The 18310-nt window shown below is 36.3% G+C and overlaps 2 protein-coding genes across 14 annotated transcripts in view; both read right to left on the bottom strand.

The window, feature by feature from the left end:
- GPHN (gephyrin) overlaps positions 1-18310 on the bottom strand; it is a 1227209-nt gene that overhangs the window by 413251 nt on the left and 795648 nt on the right. The gene's annotated exons all lie outside the window — the stretch shown is intronic.
- The window catches only part of PALS1 (protein associated with LIN7 1, MAGUK p55 family member), a 94627-nt gene that overhangs the window by 13957 nt on the left and 62360 nt on the right, over positions 1-18310 (bottom strand). For all 13 annotated transcript variants that reach the window (XM_047431691.1, XM_047431692.1, XM_011537086.3 and 10 more), the window contains 5 exons: positions 9395-9578; positions 5202-5273; positions 4626-4697; positions 1708-1875; positions 846-1048 (listed from right to left, as the gene is read on the bottom strand). In XM_047431691.1, coding sequence (XP_047287647.1) covers positions 846-1048; positions 1708-1875; positions 4626-4697; positions 5202-5273; positions 9395-9578 — 699 coding nt within the window. The remainder of the gene's footprint in view (positions 1-845; positions 1049-1707; positions 1876-4625; positions 4698-5201; positions 5274-9394; positions 9579-18310) is intronic.

The raw sequence follows: 18310 nt of genomic DNA, 5'->3' as shown, positions 1-18310 counted from the left end.
TAAAATTATCATTTTAAATAGAAAGCTAAGAGGCACTAGTTAGTAATTTTACACTTTTGCTTAGTCTGCCAAATAAGTGAAACTGAGGTCTCATTATTTTCATACAACCAAGCATTCACTGTGATACTTGTTAATATTTGAACAATGGCATTTAAACCATAAAAATAATCTTGAAATTTTCTAATTTTTCTCATATCGGAATCAGAAAAGGGAAATTATTTCATAGACTCAAATTAAAGTACTACCAATACTATATTTACTGTATTTTAAGTTTCAGAACATACATACAAGCATATATACAAGCAGAACATCTCTAATCCAAAAATCTGAAATGCAAAATCTGAAACTTTCTGAGCAGTGACATGACAGCACAAGTGGAAAACGTTACCCTGGCCTCATGTGACGGGTCATAGTCAAAATACAGGAGCAGACAGTTTATTCAATATCCCCAGGAAAAATAAAATTACCTTCAGGCTAAGTAAATAAGGTGTATATAAAAGATAAATGAATTTAATTTCAGACTTGGGTCTATCCTCAAGATAGCTCATTATATATATGCAAATATTCTAAAATCTGAGAAATTCTGAAATTCAAAACACTCTGGTCTCAAGCATTTTGAATAAGAGATAGTCAACCTGTATATGTAAGTATGTATATGTTTTCCCTCTGAGGAAACTGAAAGAGATTTAGCAACCTGTGTGATTTCAGATAGCAAATCAGTGGGAAAAACCGTATGAGAACTTAATTAGGTCGCGCTGTTCTTGGACCAAAATATAGCTTCCACTAGATTACTCTATATGACATTCCTTCTAAGTTCAAACCCTAAAACAAAGTTCTAGCTTTACCTGTGTACGAAGACTTAAAAGACATATTTTGCCAGAGTTGATCACTTGCCGTACAGAATCTATGCTAGTTCCATACAAATTCTTCTCAAATTCACCATGCTCAATGAACTTTCCAGCTGCTATGTCTGCCTCGAATGCTTGCCGCGAAACAAAGTGGTAATCTCTACCGGCTACTTCTTGGTCTCGCCTACTCCGGGTTGTATCTAGGCAAACAAAATCAGATAGAAATAACAGGCATGGCTTAGAGTGAGGACAGGGGATAATTCTGCTAGTCAGAAAGAATTTCTATTTTGTAACACAGATTATAAAATAATAAACTGAGAAAATGCTAAGTGCCTACATGTTTAACATTGTTTTTATTTTTTGTAGATTGAAAAATGAACAAAAATGAGTTTGTAGTATCTTAGTAATAGTTATATTTATCTCAATACATTTTATGCTTACACTTCAAGTTACTTCATCCTGCATTTAAAACACTACTACTCATCTTCTCCTAAAGTTTATCTCCATAAGATTAGGTACCATATAATCTTATAACTTCTGTTTCAGATTATGCCTAAGTTTCTATCTTCTGTATCACTTTAAAGCAGCAGGAACTGATTCTCTATGGAACAGGAAATTATAAGGGGCCCAAACTGAAATTTGTTTAGAAAATAATCAGTACATACTTGAAGGACAAATTTAAATTTCTTAATAATGACTATTTTTAATTTAAAAATTGTCAAAATCTTTGGTTAAAGTTCCTCTTTCACTGACAACAGTGTTTTAATGAAATGAATAAAAAATTTCCCTACATGATATAGTTAGGTTCTGAGCTGGTAAATTGAAAAGCACAGGAAAATGGGAATGCATTCAAACTTACGAGGAACTGCAGATGCAAAGCGGTCCTTTTCTTTGTTCATGAGCCTCTGACGCAATTCATTCTGGCCACAGTTCTGTGGACCAATCAAGATGATAGGTCTCTTCCTATTTGCTGGCTGATGATAAAGTGACATTTCCTCATAGGTTAAGATCTCCTCGTTGTCATAATCTTTGGGAAAAAAAAGTTAAGCTCTTCAAACAAAATTATGGCCATGTATTAAAGATATAAATACTCATAGATCTTCACCCAAAATTAGACAAAAGCACAATTTATTGTCATTACATCCTTGCTAGGGTATCATGAAAATGAATCAGACAACAATATAATACTCCTTCTATTAATTTTTATCTCATTTCATATTTGAAATAAAAAATTCATGCTTGAATGTCTAATACAATATAATTATACTGATTCTTACATTAAACAGCTAATTTGCAGTCAATACTTTGAATAAGGATGCGGTACCAGGGAATGAACTAGTAAGAGTAATATCCGTCATTTTTGAAGAATGCAGATATTAATATTCTACTTAAGAAGGTTGTTTTAAGAATCAGACATAATGTATACGCTGAATACAATGGCTAGCATAGACCGACATTTACATATAGTGGCTACAACCAGTGTTATCAGAGAAAGCTGGAATACTTTCCTATAGTTCAAGCTCGTCCAACCCGTGGCCCATGAGCTGCATGCAGCCCAGGACGGCTTTGAATGGGGCCCAATGCGAATTTGTAAACTTTCTTAAAACACTGTGAGATTGTTTTGCAATTTTTTTTTTTTTTTTTTTAGCTCATCAGCTATCTCTAGTGTTAAGTGTATTTTACGTGTGGCCCCAGACTATTCTTCTTCTAATGTGGCCCAGGGAAACCACAAGATTGGATACCCCTGCTGTAGTTGTATAACTTGAAAACAGGCCATATGCATGCTATCTCCACTTTCTGCATTTATGTTTACTCTACTCTGGAATGCTAACCCAGAGTCATGAATCAAAATGAGGTATAAATTATGACAGGTGGGGTAACATTCCTAAAGCCCATAATCCAGATGAAACCAGAGCTGTCAAGTGGTAAGAACAAAAGCAGATAACTAGTAGCCTGCCAAGTCCTCACTCATATTACTTCTCCTGACTGTGAAGGAGCATCAGATGTGAAGTCAGACTCCCTCAGCTCTATTTCCATGAGGTTAGGGGACCATCTTAGGCTTGTCAATGCTCAGCACAGAGCCTGGCACAGAGCAGGAGCTCAAACTACACTTGTTTAAATTCCAGCTCAACCAATCATGTATTAGTTGTTAAGAATTTCAGCAAATCACTTTAATATCTAAACTTTTTTTTTTTTTTTGAGACGGAGTCTCGCTCTGTCGCCCAGGCTGGAGTGCAGTGGCGCGATCTCGGCTCACTGCAAGCTCCGCCTCCCGGGTTCACGCCATTCTCCTGCCTCAGCCTCCCGAATAGCTGGGACTACAGGCACCCGCCATCACGCCTGGCTAATTTTTTGTATTTTTTAGTAGAGATGGAGTTTCACCATGTTAGCCAGGATGGTCTCCATCTCCTGACCTCGTGATCCGCCTGCCTCGGCCTCCCAAAGTGCTGGGATTACAGGCATGACCCACCGCGCCCGGCCTAATATCTAAACTTGAATCTATTACTCTGTAACCTCAAGGAGTTTGTGAGAACAACATCATATAGTTACTGCCCTGGAATACAGCAGTTATTATGAATTGTAGTTATTTATTTAAAAATATTCATGATGATGACATCATCATAAACAGCAAATGTAATTCCTTCTCCTCTCAAAATGATTTTCTCTGAAAAATCTGAGTTTATTCTAACACGTATAATCAAGACTGGTAGCATTTTAATTTATAGACTCAGTGTGTATATCCATAAGGTTCAGATTTGCCACGTTTTCTACAGTACAGTAGCTCTTAGAGCTGGACTAGTTAACTTCAGTCTGTTTCAAAAAATAAAAGAGATATTAATCACAAATATAGAGGATAAAATTTAAAACTCATTAAATCTTTTTAGTTACATAATCTGTCAATTAGCATTAAAGGATATTTATTTTAGAAAAAAATTTATTAAAGTTGATCAAACCTCATTTAGCTTTTATGGAATATTATAATGATCTATAATGTTTTATCTTTATTAGTTTAATGTGTGCTGCTCCCAAATATTTCAAATTCTTGACAGAAAAGCCTTATAAATTACATAAGAAGGAAAGCCTTTGCTTTATTATTTGGGTTGCTTCTAATGTGAACCAAACAGAAGTAGCAAACTCAAATGCCCATAAAAACAAACTAAGGAGGTAATAAAATCAGTAAATCAGGTTGGGTTAATAAAACACTGGGAGTGGTAGAGACTGTTAAACTAGACACCAGGTGCTTGATATAAGAGCAACAGTCATCACTCAGGTCCAGCAGACTGTTGTCACCTAGGAATACTAGCCCAACATTATCAGAGCTTTTGATTTTAAGAGAAGCTACAACTTTCGAGCTTTTTAATCTTAGCAATCAATCAAAATAAAACTAAAATTCTCTTGTGTGTCTGACTTAGCCAGCAGGTAGTGGGTTCTCAGGAATGAGTTGCTTCTGTGACATGAGCTATTGTAGAGGACATAGTTTTTACTTCAAGTATGTTCTGTAAGAATTTGTTAGAAGTATAATTTTTGCAAAGAGTTTAAGTAGAAAAAAACTACAGGAAACTGTCAATTTAATACTACATATGCTAAATAGTACTTGAATTTTTGTATCAGTTTTCCCCAGAATTCAAAACACTGCCTTACTCACAGGATTCCAAAAGAAAATACTTTCTACTAAATGATTTTCTCAAGCACATATTTAACATTAAGGTGCAAAACAGGACTAGGTTTAGACTCCTTTCAGATATAATTCCACCTATCCCTGAGAGTAGAACTTACCATCATTTTTATTGGCATTATATAAAACCTTTTTCCTCTTCTTTTTATTCTTCTTTGCACACCACAGTTTTCCTGTTGAGCAATCATAAACATAACTATAAATGTGTTCCCGTGAACAAAACCACATAACTCAAATTGAAGAACTCTATTTATTCATTCATTTATTCTTTAAATTTTTTTGCAGAAACGAGATCTCCATATGTTGGCCACGCTTGTCTTGAACTCCTGGCCTCAAGTGATCCTCCCGCCTCAGTCTCCCAAAGTGCTGGGATTACAGGTGCAAACCACCACACCCAGCTTGTTTTTAATTTACTTTTATAAATACTTATTACACTGTTTGTATAAAGACTATTTTTCAGGAAAGCATTTACAATTTTCAATTAACTACACAGTATAGACAGATAATCTTTAATACTTAAATCTTATCCTTTCTTTACAGTTCTGAGATAATCAGTTTTGCCTCTTGTATCACTCTTTCCCTGAGTACTTCTTCACGGTTCTAATATGCAGATTCACACATGGCTCCAGATGAAGACCCAAGAAACCATTTACTTATGTCAAATACAAGTGTCTAACCTGATTTTTCTGGCTCCTTATCTTCTTCTATGGTTTGTTTCATGGCTTCCCTTTGCTGCTGAAAGCTTTTCCCTTAATAGCAGAAAGAAAAAGAAGGGTAAAATATTTAAGATAAAAGGATAAGAATTTTTTTTTTAATCAAGAAGGGAAAACACTAGACATATCTCTTCACTTATATTCCCTTCCAAATCCTTTTGCCAACACAGGAGTAATGTCAGCTATGATGTGTAAGCCTCCAAATTTTTAAAATATTAACTCTGCTCAATCAATCCCATATGTATTATTAGAATACATATCATCTACTAAAATATTTAAAAATTTAATAGTTCAACTTTTTAAAAGGTTTCATTGAGCATTTACTTTGTGGAAAAGTACTATCCTGGATCTTACAATGGTTCTAGGTCCTTTAGAATTATCTCAAATTAAGGATATCAATTCTAGGAATTAACTTTTCCAAAACAACATGTGCGCATTCATCACATATTCAATTCCATATTCAATTCCAAGAAACCATTCAGTATATTCCCTTGCATGCATTATTCTCAATTCCTCTTCTTTTGTGTATGTATATGTGTTAGCCATTTTTTATTTCCACCCTTAAGTTACCAATTATATAAATGGAAAACGTGCTTTTCCTTACAAAATTAATATTTTAATATAGGAGGCTTTCAAGGTTCCTGACCTTGAAAGAGGTTTTCTTTTCCGACTTCTACTTTAAATCAAATATGTCTTTTCCTATAGGATACAAGTGGCTTCACTTAGAAGATTCTGAATTACGTTGAGGTTCCACTTTTTTATTTTATTTTTAAATCTACTTTTTTTCAGTGTAAAGCCAGAGATTCTTAAAAATCAATAAGCAAATTCTACATAGGTGGGGATAATCTGTAGAACTTAGTGCATTTCGTAAGTGTACTAACAAAAAGATTAATACTGACTTCCATACACATAAGAAGCATTAAAGGAAGCCTGGTTATCTTTTGAGACGAAGTCTCGCTCTGTCACCCAGGCTGGAGTGCAGTGGCGCAATCTTGGCTCACCGCAACCTCCGCCTTCCAGGTTCAAGGGATTCGCATGCCTCAGCCTCCCGAGCAGCTGGGATTACAGGGGCCCGCCACCATGCCCAGCTAATGGTTGTATTTTTAGTAGAGGCTCGGTTTCACCATGTTGGCCAGGCTGGTCTTAAACTCCTAATCTCAGGTGATCCTCCTGCTTGGCCTCCCAAAGTGCCAGGATTAGGGGCATGAGCCACTGTGCACGGCCAAGACTGTATTCTTAGTACAAGTAACTATTACTAGAAGGAAAATTTTAAGAGTATTAAAATTTAAAGGGGTCGGGTGCAGTGGCTTATGCCTGTAATCCCAACACTTTGAGAGGCCAAGGTGGGCAGATCACGAGGTCAGGAGATCAAGACCATCCTGGCTAACACGGTGAAACCCCATCTCTACTAAAAATACAAAACATCAGCTGGGCGTGGTGGTGGGCACCTGTAGTCCCAGCTGCTCAGCAGACTGAGAGAGAAGAAGGGCATGAGCCCGGGAGGCGGAGCTTGCAGTGAGCTGAGATCATGCCACTGCACTCCAGCCTGGGAGACAGAGCGAGATTTTGTCTCAAAAAAAAAAAAAAAAAAAAAAAAAATTAAAAATAAGTAACCGATTTTTAAAAATCAAGAACAAAGTAATTTTAATCATTTACATATTAAAAATGTAAAACATTACAATGATGTACTTCTGTGGCACTTTTTGTAGTATGAACTATAGGCTATTCTGAAATAGAGGCAGAAATTAATGAGAGATGGAAATGATTTTCTTTCTTTTTCTGAGACTGCTCTGTTACACTGGTGTGATCAAAGCTCACTGCAGCCTCAACCTTCCAGCCTCATGCAATCCTTCCACCTCAGCCTCCTGAATAGCTGGGACTACAGGTACGCACCACCATGCCCAGCTAATTTTTAAATTTTTTGTAGAGACAAAGTCTCATTATGTCAGCTATGCCACTATGTGGCCCAGGCTAGTCTCAAACTCCTGGGCTCAAGCAATCCTCCCACCTCAGCCTCCCAAAGTGCTGGGATTACAGGTGTGAGCCACCAGGGCCAGCCTCATAATGACCTCTTAAAAAAATCTGTCTAATTCTGATGGAAAGCCATCGTCAAACTCTAAGGCAGATCTTTAGTCTTATAAAAAGACTTAGAAATGTCATCATTGGAATCTATATACTTTCAGAAAATCAATCTATCAACAAACACTAGTTCTAAACATTTATGGGCTAAAGTTCGGCATGGTAGGAAGACACCATACTGATATTTGGCACAAGCCTGAGGCAGAACCACAATGGCTACCCAACACTCCAAGATTCTAGAGAAATGTCCTGTAACTGTTACTCTGAAGAATCACGGGTTTTAGCATCATACTCTAAAATAAATGTAAGAAGTCCATTCCTCCTTCCTTAAAATATGACTGATATAGACAAAATCTGTTTCTAGCCTCTGAGTTTTAAAGTGAGAAATTTGAAGCTTTCTGTGACCTTATACTCAAAAAGAATAAATGTAAATATTATGTTGAAATCTCTTGTACCCAGAAAAGTCTCTTTGGCTTAGTTACAGAGATAAAAGAGATTCCTTATAACTTATTCTAAAATCTTTGGACAACTTCCTCTGTTCCTACTATGTATCTCATAGTCAATATTTCTCAGTCTTTTTTTTCATGCCCTCCTTTTCTTCTTTTCCCCTAAACTATTGCTTGTTGTCAAATCCAGTGTAAGGCTAAGTCTATAGCCAAATCTGTTATGCTTAAAATCTTCTGGTGTGAGTAGGAGGGATGATCGCTAAAAAAGGTTGTAGATAAAAGATAAGGCCAGAAAAACATTACAGCAAAGCATTGAAAGGTCTAATTCAGAAACAGCAGTTCTGGCAGAACTATTTTTTTTTTTTTTAATTTTTGTTTGTTTTCTGAGAACTTTTAAAATCATCTTTTATTCATTAATTTAACATATATTATCTGGATTTAAAACAAATAAGACTTGGCCTCTGACATCAAGAAGTTTATAAACTGAGCATATACAGTAGAAAGAATTATAACAGAGACAATATCATGAAAATATTATAAAGTAGGGGACACAGAAGAAAAAAATATACATAAGTGTTAATGGATATGCTTTCAAGTAAAGTATGTAAGCGAAGTTTATCTCAGCACCAGGCAAAGTGCTTTACATGGTGCAGACATAACAGCATTTATTAACAAATAAATGGATGAATTATTATCCCTTTACTCTATATCCCTATTTTTATCATCCTGTATGTATTCCTTTGCCTTCTCCGATAGCTTATTAAACTTCCCTTAGTTCTGCTCTCCTTTCTTTATTCTACTGCCATCCTGGGAACTGTAAGAGCCATTTGTAGAAAATAATTATATCTACATACAGTCATGCACTGCATAACAACATTTCAGTCAACAACCAACCATATATATGATGGTGGTTGGAGGAATAGGCTATACCACATAGCCTAGCTGTACAGCAGGCTATATCATCTAGGTTTGTGTAAATACACTCAGTGATGTTTGCACAACAATGAAATCACCTAATGGCACATTTCTCAGAACTTATCCCTGTCGTTAAGTGATGCATGACTGTACTTTGTTCTATTTTGTATCATCTTAACTCTCAGAAACATGTCCCCTTAATAATCTTAATCTATAATGTAAGCTAAAGTTTTAGTTTAGTCTAAGTTAGGGATAGTTTCATCAATAAAAAATTTGGAGCATCCTGTTTCTGCCCTAAGATCACGTTTGGTACAATAAATTCTATGATGTTACTTTTCCTGACTCCTTATAAAGTTATGCATCTTTCCTTCTCAAAAATCATGTTGATGCTCCAATTAATGTCATAGTATATAGTATATAGTATAATACAAGTTGTATTGCCTCGATAATACGGTCATCTTAATATGTATACAGGAAATGTACTACAATATGGGATTGGCTGAAGTTATACATAATTCCATTCTAAAGGCCAAAGAATTGGCCACATTCTATTTAATATACTTACGCTGCAGGTACAACATAAAAACCCAACTACACGAAAAAGTAACTGGAATACTTTATTAAATAGAGGCATGAAAGAGTGAGTTTTTCTTTGTGAAGGCTTGCATTTTCAATGTTCTTTTAATATTATGTACTTTCTACCATATTGTGTCTTACCTGGAACAAGCCCGGCTAGAGGTTGATTATCTTCGTCCCCTTCCCTGTAGGCCTGCCACCAGTTTGGATCTTCTTGACTGATCACATGAAGTATATCACCTTTTTGAAAAGACAGACCTAACTCTCGACATGGAACATAAGGGTCATCTGAGGGGTCATAGTCAAAATGAGCTTTTACATGGATCTAAAAGATAAAAAGGGCAAAAACAACAATAAATGGCAATATAAAATGTTTCATATGAATACAATTTAAATGCTACAAATTTTTTATTATTTTTTAATTTTAAAAAAATTTAATAGAGACAGCATCTCAGTATGTTGTCCAGGATAATCTCAAATTTCTAGCCTCAAGCGATCCTTCTCCCTCAGCCTCCCAAAGTGGTGGGATTATAGGTGTGAGCCACTGCACTTGGCCACAATTTTTCATCAGTGCAAAGAAATTGTAGTTGGAAGAAGGGTGTTAAGTAACAGTGTTTTTGGGCAATATTTTTTCAGGCTGATCTGTTATCTTCTCTGTTGACTTGCAGATATGTACAAGGATATCCACAACACTGTTCGCAGCTACAAGCTGAGGTACAAGGTGCCTCAAAAGCTTGAGAGAAGCAGAAATAGAATAGAATCCTGACCTGTGAAAACAATGACTCTGCAATAAGGTATGCAATTTCCAAACCACAGCTACTAGAAAAGGTACACTTTACCTTACCACATCTCTTCATCTAAGCAGGTAAATATGAGCTTCCCTGGGGCTGTCATTGTCTCTTGACCCCACTGTCAGTCCAACTATGCCTTAAACTCTCTTGGCGTTTCTTTTAAAGGATATGTTCATGAAACAAGCACACTATCAACGACTAAAATTAACTAAATCAAGTTTATAATCAATTCTTATTTGTATGCTATGTAGGCTTTGACATATTATTAACGGTACAAGTTATAATTTTTGCTAATAATGTGTTTTTGGAAATCAGAATAAATCAAAGAATTGTGCTATTCTACTTAGCATTAAGGGCAGGTAGTAACTCTCATGAACTTTATAAGCTATTCTGTATGCCATTTCTTCCAATATGCCTCTGTAAGATATGACAGACTATTCTTACTTCTAAGAAGTTATAAAGGAATTAAAATTCTCTTTAATTTCCCCATGTCTAATTTTTACCTAACCTGGGCAAGTTGCATGTGACACTTCCAAAATCTATAAGAAATCTACTTCATCTAATGAGATCTCACACAAATTTGTAATGAGCATTTCTGCCCACATATTTGCAGTGAGCATTTCTGTCACACATAGGTTAAATTCCAAGTTCAGGCTCAACGAACCAAGCAAAAGACAAACAGTCTAAGAATTCAAGGTCCATTTCTATCCAAATATTATTTGGCTTTGGCTTTTTTTTTTTTTTTTTTTTGAGACGGAGTCTCGCTCTGTTGCCCAGGCTGGAGTTCAGTGGCACAATCTTGGCTCACTGCAAACTCCATCTCCCGGGTTCAAGTGATTCTCCTGTCTGAGCCTCCCGAGTAGCTGGGATTACAGGCACTCACCACAACGCCCAGCTAATTTTTGTATGTTTAGTAGAAACAGGATTTCGCCAGTTGGCCACACTGGTCTTGAACTCCTGACCTCAGGTGATCCACCTGCCTTGGCCTCCCAAAGTGCTGGGATTACAGACACGAGCCACCACGCCTGGCCTTAGCTTTAAGTGTTTTACTCTCACCATAATTGAGGTTATATGTAATAAAAGTAATACCAGTCTACCCCAAAAGGGGCACTTTTTAAGCGCTCTTTAAGCACTTGAGACACTGACTAAAATGAGTACTGTCGATGACAGACTATATGAAATTGGAAAAAATGCTAAGTGACAAAGATAGACATAGATAGATAGATAGACAGATAAATGGCTTTTTAAAAAATTTTTGGCTTGTCATTAAAGAATATTTTTTAATTTCAAAGAATATTTTATTAACTTCTATAAATAGGAAATAAAGCTGAGTCCTAATATACAAACTGAAACTAAGGTTAAAAAATGATCTGGTTAAAAATACAAAGATATAAAAGTTAAACAGCTACCAGCAAAACTTAAATGTTATTATGCCTTTTGGGAGTAACTTTTGATACACAAAAAATACACATTATCATAAGTGTATAGCATAGTGAATTTTCACTAACTAAACAGACCTGTATAACTAGCATCCAAATCAACAACCATCATATCACCAACACCTCAGAGGCCCCACCTGGTCTCTTTCCATCACTACCCATCCCATCCCCTCCAAGGATAAACATCATCCTGATTTCTAGAAACACTGATTATTTTCCCCTGTATATTAATTCATATACATGGAATAGCATAGTATATAATCTTGTACCAAATATAGTTAAGATAACACACCAAATTTGAAAGTGTTGTGGCTCATCCTAAATGCAAAGTGCCCTAAAGAACCTCATTCTAGATGTGAAAAAACAGTTTTTATTAAAATCTTGAAATCTTTCTCAGTCAGCACTAAAAATGAATTTTAGAAAGTTGTGTGGGATAGCAGTGAATCAAAACACAGTTAAGAGATTGAGCAAAAAGATTATACAAATTTATAATCTTGGCATGAGGAAAAATCTCCTATGTAGTTTTATCTAGAAATATGTTTTCTTTAAAAAAAAAAAAGTGCTTGAGCACCATCCTATCAATAATACTTCTAGAATCTGTTTGTTACTTTTTTGCCAAAAAAAAAAAACCTTGAGAATCTAAAAATGGAATTTTTGGCATCACTTGTAGTGGAGAGATCAATTTTACCAGATTTTTCAAAGATCAAATCAAAGTACTTGTCAATCTTGATTGACAATTTTATCAAATCACTTTCTGAAAGCCTACCCAGTATGTTGTTTTTCAAAGTGTTTTTGCTCAGATCACCTGCCTAGGATGTTTATTAAAATGATGAATTCTCATGCCGCACCTCAGACTCTCAGACTCTGAATTTTAATCAGGTTCCTTGGGTAATTATTAGGTACAGCAATCTTAGGGAACTACTACCCTGAGAGAAATTAAGACCCGTGAGGAGGGAATATCTACATTTATGACCATTGCCATAGGCCAACAAAATCACCCAGAGATGCTTTTCCATGTACTCTTGCCTATGCAGTTCTCATCCCTTAACTATTCTAATTTAACTGGCTTGGAACAGGGCCCCTCTTTGTGTAGGCTGGGAAGAGAACATGCTTTACTTATGTGACAAGTTTCTCTAGTCCCATCTAAAATATACCCTAAAATTAAGAGAAAAAGCTCTTACTTTCCTAAAATTAAGAGGAAAAGGCTCTTATTAATTTTTCCTAAGGAAAATTTATTTCACATCTGAAAAATTAATGATTTGAATGAGTTAAAGTCTGGGTATTGCCTTAACAGATACTATATGACTTTTATCCATATATTCCACTGATTAATTCTTACCAGTTCTAGAAGTTATCTCCACCAATCTTTCCTGCTAGTGTCAAAATTATTTTGTTTCTCATACAACAAAAAAAGCCCCTTTAAAATGAAGGAGATAAGCTGACCCTCATAGGAAAGGTCCAGGGCCTCATAATGCTATAATAATATCAGAACAGTATATCTGATCAAAACAGTATTTGGCTTCTGAACAAAACAAAATCTTCTGTTTACATTTCAAATTGTAGAACTGTTTGGACGCAATTATCTTCCAGCCCAACATTTTCTTTTTCCTTTTTTTAATATCTATAAGCTGTTCACATTTGAAGTCGTAATGATGAAATGGGGATAGGGTACAGGGATAATGATTCATCAGTTTATTTACATGTTTTTTAGGGATCCAATGTTCCAAAATATTGTTTTTCAACCAATCAAGAAGGCTATTAGAATTACTTATTAATAAAACTTGTCCTATATTGTAATTTGGGATAGTAAGTAGAGTAGTACATATATATACAATATGGGAGGGGACATGTTCAATGTTTTTTAATTGATAAAGGTATAAAACAAAATTAGCTGGTGGCACAGTAGATGGTACTTGTACACGGTACAGGGTAGCTGTAATCCCAGCTACTTGGGAGGCTGAGGCGGGAGAATCACTTGAACCCAGGAGGCGGAGGTTGCAGTGAGCCAAGATGGCACCATTGCACTCCAGCCTGGACAACAGAGTGAAACTCTGTCTCCAAAAAAAAAAAAAAAAGAAAAAGAAAAAAATATTTGGAGAGTGCTGATCTAAAACTCAGGATCTATATTCCACTTGCTCAATGGACACTCCTTTGGAAAAGTATAAATTTGCCACAACCACCTGGACAGTGTACTTGGGAGACAACTTTGGGATTAGCTTAATGGAAAGGTTAGTACTCATGAAGGTAAGGCTATCACATTGGTGACGCCCTCAAAATCAAAGAGAAAAAAAAGAAAAAAAAAAAAAAGGAAGTTTGGTTTTTCCCTTTTCTATTGTCTAAGTATTAGGTTGGCTTTTATACTTTTTACACTGACTTTTTTTTTTTTTAAACTGTTAAGTTCAGGGATCCAACTGCAGGTTTGTTACATAGGTAAACTTGTGTGTTGGGGGTTTGTTGTACAGATTATTTCATCACCCAGGTATTAAGCCTAGTACCCATTAGTTACTTTTCCTGATCCTCTCCCTCCCCCTGCCCTCTACCCTCTGAAAGACCCTAGTGTGTGTTGTTCCCCTTTATGTGTCCACGTGTTCTCATCATTTAGCTCCCACATGTAAGAGAACATGTGGTTTTTGGTTTTCTGTTCCTGTGTTAGTTTGCTAAGGACAATGGCCTCCAACTCCATCCATGTCCCTGCAAAGGATATGATCTCATTTTTTTATGGCTGCATTCGTATTCCATGGTGTATATATACCACATTTTCTTTATCGAATCTATCATCGATGGGCATTTAGGTTGATTCCACATCTCTGCTACCAAAATATTTTTCTTTGTAATTTTTATTTCTGTATCTCTTACTATCGCAGATTTATCTTTAACTCTTAAAGTTCATTGTAGAAGAGAAAATAGTGAAAGTGAGTCAAGGAAAGCCTTTATAGCACCAAGCAAGTTTTTAAGTATCTCCACACAACACTAGAATTTCTCCTTTCCCCACATCCACCAAGAAATAAATGTCTTTATTAATACATTTTTATACCTATAATGGGAAAGCAATGTATTTGATAGCAGTGGTTCTCAACTTTTCTTTACAACACAGTTATCTCTGTAGTGCCTGGCACAGAGTACATAATCATAATAATAGCTTATATGTATTAAACAATCAATAATCTGTTAATTTTCTGGTACATATTCTGTAACTAATAAGCGATGTGATCCTTCTTCATTTAAATACACTCCTTGTTAGATTATGGCATTAGACTAAATGAAAAAGTCCCATTCAGATAAAAGTCTATTATGCCCTCCCTACATATTATTATAGTATAGAATAATCTAAAGTTTTACAAACTAGTCTGGGAAATCCAATCCTTCCTTTTTTTAAAAAGGCCGAGAGAAGGAAACTGTACGTTTGAATAATGTATGCATTTCCTAGATCAAATGTGCCAGTTACTCAGGAAGTGAAATACAGAGGTGCCAAGACTCTTGCCCTCTGCTACTGAAAGAGCAGCCACTGATTGCTATGTGTGATACAAAAGAAATTTAAGAACTCAAGAGAGCACTTCTGACACAGCTTATTATTGCCATACATGACATCATAATTCAACAAGTCATTATATAGGGGTTTCAGATAACACTTATTTTGTATATCTGTCTTAAACACATTTCTAACATCACAAAACATAAATCAGGAAGATATCTGCTGCTGCTGCTATCAACAGATGCTGACCTGTACCATAATGATACTCAATAAATTGGTTCTAATTTCTTTAGATTATTAATTCCATAGATAATTATTCTGCATATGTCAACCAAGATTATGATTTCCTATTACTGTTTCCTTTCTGGACAGCCTCAATGAGCTTTAATAATAGCAGTTCATTTTAAGCCAGTTAGGTCTGACAAAACTTGGCAAGATATATTGCAATTGAGAGTTATTCATAATAAAAAGAGAAAAGAAGGGGCTGGGCATGGTGGCTCATGCCTGTAATCCCAGCACTTGGGAGGCCAAGGTGGGCGGATCATCAGAGGTCAGGAGTTCAAGACCAGCCTGGCCAACATGGTGAAACTCTGTCTCTACTAAAAATACACAAACACACACACACACACACACACAAATTCAGCCAGGCATGGTGGCGGGCGCCTGTAATCCCAGCTACTTGGGAGGCTGAGTCAGGAGAATGCTTGAACACAGGAGGCAGAGGTTACAGTGAGCCAAGATCGCACCACTGTACTCCAGCCTGGGCGACAGAGCAAGACTCTGTCTCAAAAAAAACAAAAAACAAAAGAGAAAAGAAGGAAAAGAAAAATACTGCACATCACTCTATTCTGAAAAGATCCCTACTTTAAATATGAAAATAGGCCGGGTTCGGTGGCTCATGCCTGTAATCCCAGCACTTTGGGAGGCCAAGGCGGGCAGATCACCTGAGGTCAGGAGTTCGAGACCAGCATGGCCAACATAGTGAAACCCCATCTCTGCTAAAAATACAAAAATTAGCTGGATGTGGTGGCATGCACTTGTAGTCTCAGCTACTAGGGAGGCTGAAGCAGGAGAACTGCTTGACTCTGGGAGGCGGAGGTTGCAGTGAGCCCAGATGGTGCCACTGCTTGCCTCGGTGACAAGAGTGAGACTCCAAGTAAAAAGAACAGAAAAAGCTCCATTTTAAAAGGGATAGATGTGGCATTTTGCTCTTTCTCCCACTTTCTTCCTTTTTAAGCTACTTCATTTTCCAGTTAAGTAGTTCCAGAGATTGTTCACCATGAACCTATATTCCTTTGGTCTTCAGATTAAACCAGCCTTTTATTCTTAATCAATAATGAAAGTTGGGGGTTAAATAACCACTAAAGGATAAGTAAGTTATTTCATTCTTAGGTTGAAACAATCTGTGTAAGTTAATTGCTTTGATATTCTGTTTTGCATACAACGAGAATCAACAAGTTTCAATGTAACACTTCGATTAATTCTATCCATGAAAAAAATGGCTTTTCTTTTACAGAATTCCAGATTCTGCATGAATAGCAGGAAAAAAATGTTGAGAAAACATGTCTTGGCTGGGCATTGTGGCTCACGTCTGTAATCCCAACACTTCGGGAGGCCGAGGCGGGTGGACCACTTGAGCTCAGGAGTTCGAGACTAGCCTGGGCAACATAGTGAAAGCCATCTCTACCAAAAGTACAAAAAAATTAGCCGGATGTGGTAGTATGCATCTGTGTTTCCAGCTACTAGGGAGGCTGAGGTAGGAGGACTGCTTGAGCCCAGGCAGTCAAGGCTGCAGGAGTCGTGATCACATCACTGCACTCCAGCCTGGATAATAGAGCCAGATCCCACCTCAAAAAAAAAAAATGTCTTAACTTCTGACATTTATTCTCAAAAGACAAAAGTCATTTACTCAGGAGGGATGGATTATTGTAGATAAGTAAGTAGGAGTATATTCCAACCCTCCTCTGTTATGTTTCCTCAGTTTGCAGAGCTACTTTTGAAGTTCAGGGCTTATACACAGAAGAGATACAGGGAACAGCACAATGCACAGAGAATCAAGCTGTTTAAATTCAAAGACAAACTATATTTCCTCATTTCTCTTCCTGCAAAAAAACTGTAAACATAAAGTAGGTTGCAGATACAATATCAACTTCCGTATGTTCTGTAAAAAATTAAGGGAAAACATGGAATGATAGCCAAACTATAAAGCATACCTGTGATGAAATATTGAGAGAAAAATGAAACTGTGTTCTTTCTCAAACTGCTATGCTTTAAAGTTAAGAATAACAGATGCAATACATCAAGCTTCCATGTTAATTCAACACTTTAAAGTTTCATTTTTAAATAGCTTTATTGATATATAATTCATATACAATTCACTCATGTACACAATTGGATGGTTTTAGTTTATTCACAGATTTGTACAATTATCACCACAAACAATTTTAAAACATACTTATGCCCTCAAAAAGAAACTTGGTACTGATTAGTAATCACCATTCCCTCATAAATCCTCATCTCCACATCTAAGGAATTACTAATCTGCTTTCTCTCCTATGGATTTACCTATTCTGGACATTTTATATAAATGAACCAATATATGGCCTTTTGTGACTGGCTTCCTTCGCTCAGCATAATTTCTTCAAGGTTCATCCATGTTGTAGCATATATCAGTACTGTAGGCTTTTAAAATTATCAAATAATATCCCATCATACATACATATTTTGTCTTTGATTCATCACCTGACAGACATTTGGGTTGTTACTACTTTCTAGCTACTGTGAATGCTGCTGCTATGAACATTCATGTAGACATTCTTATGTGAATATATGTTTTCAGTCCTTTTGGATATATACTTTGGAATGCAATTGCTTGACTGTATGGTAATGGAGACTGACTTTTAACAGATCTAGCTGAGTAAATGTCTAACAGAACAATATACTCTAAAAGAAGGGTTACACATACTTTTTAAAAAGCACTTGCCCTACTCCATACTAAGTTAAGTAAACCCACCTATAACTATAAAAAAAATTCTGAAACTGAAATTATTTTCTACTTTTTATTTTAAAAAGGTGCAGAGTTGGCTGGATGTGAAGGCTCACACCTGTAATCCCAGCACTTTGGGAGGCCGAGGCAGGCAGATCACATGAAGCCAGGCGTTCAAGATCAGCCTGGCCAACATGGCAAAACCCTGTCTCTACCAAAAATACAAAAATCAGCTGGGTGTGGTGGCATGCGCCTGGAATCCCAGCTACTCAAGAGGCTGAGGTGGGAGAATCATTTGAACCTGGAAGGCATAGGTTGCAGTGAGCCAAGATCACACCACTGCACTCTACCCTGGGCAACAGATGGAGA

The sequence above is a fragment of the Homo sapiens genome, chromosome 14 (genome assembly GCF_000001405.40).
Source record: "Homo sapiens chromosome 14, GRCh38.p14 Primary Assembly".
NCBI classification, from domain to species: Eukaryota; Metazoa; Chordata; class Mammalia; order Primates; family Hominidae; genus Homo; species Homo sapiens.
Note: the sequence above shows the minus strand (reverse complement) of the source record. Positions and strands in the feature narration are given on the sequence as shown.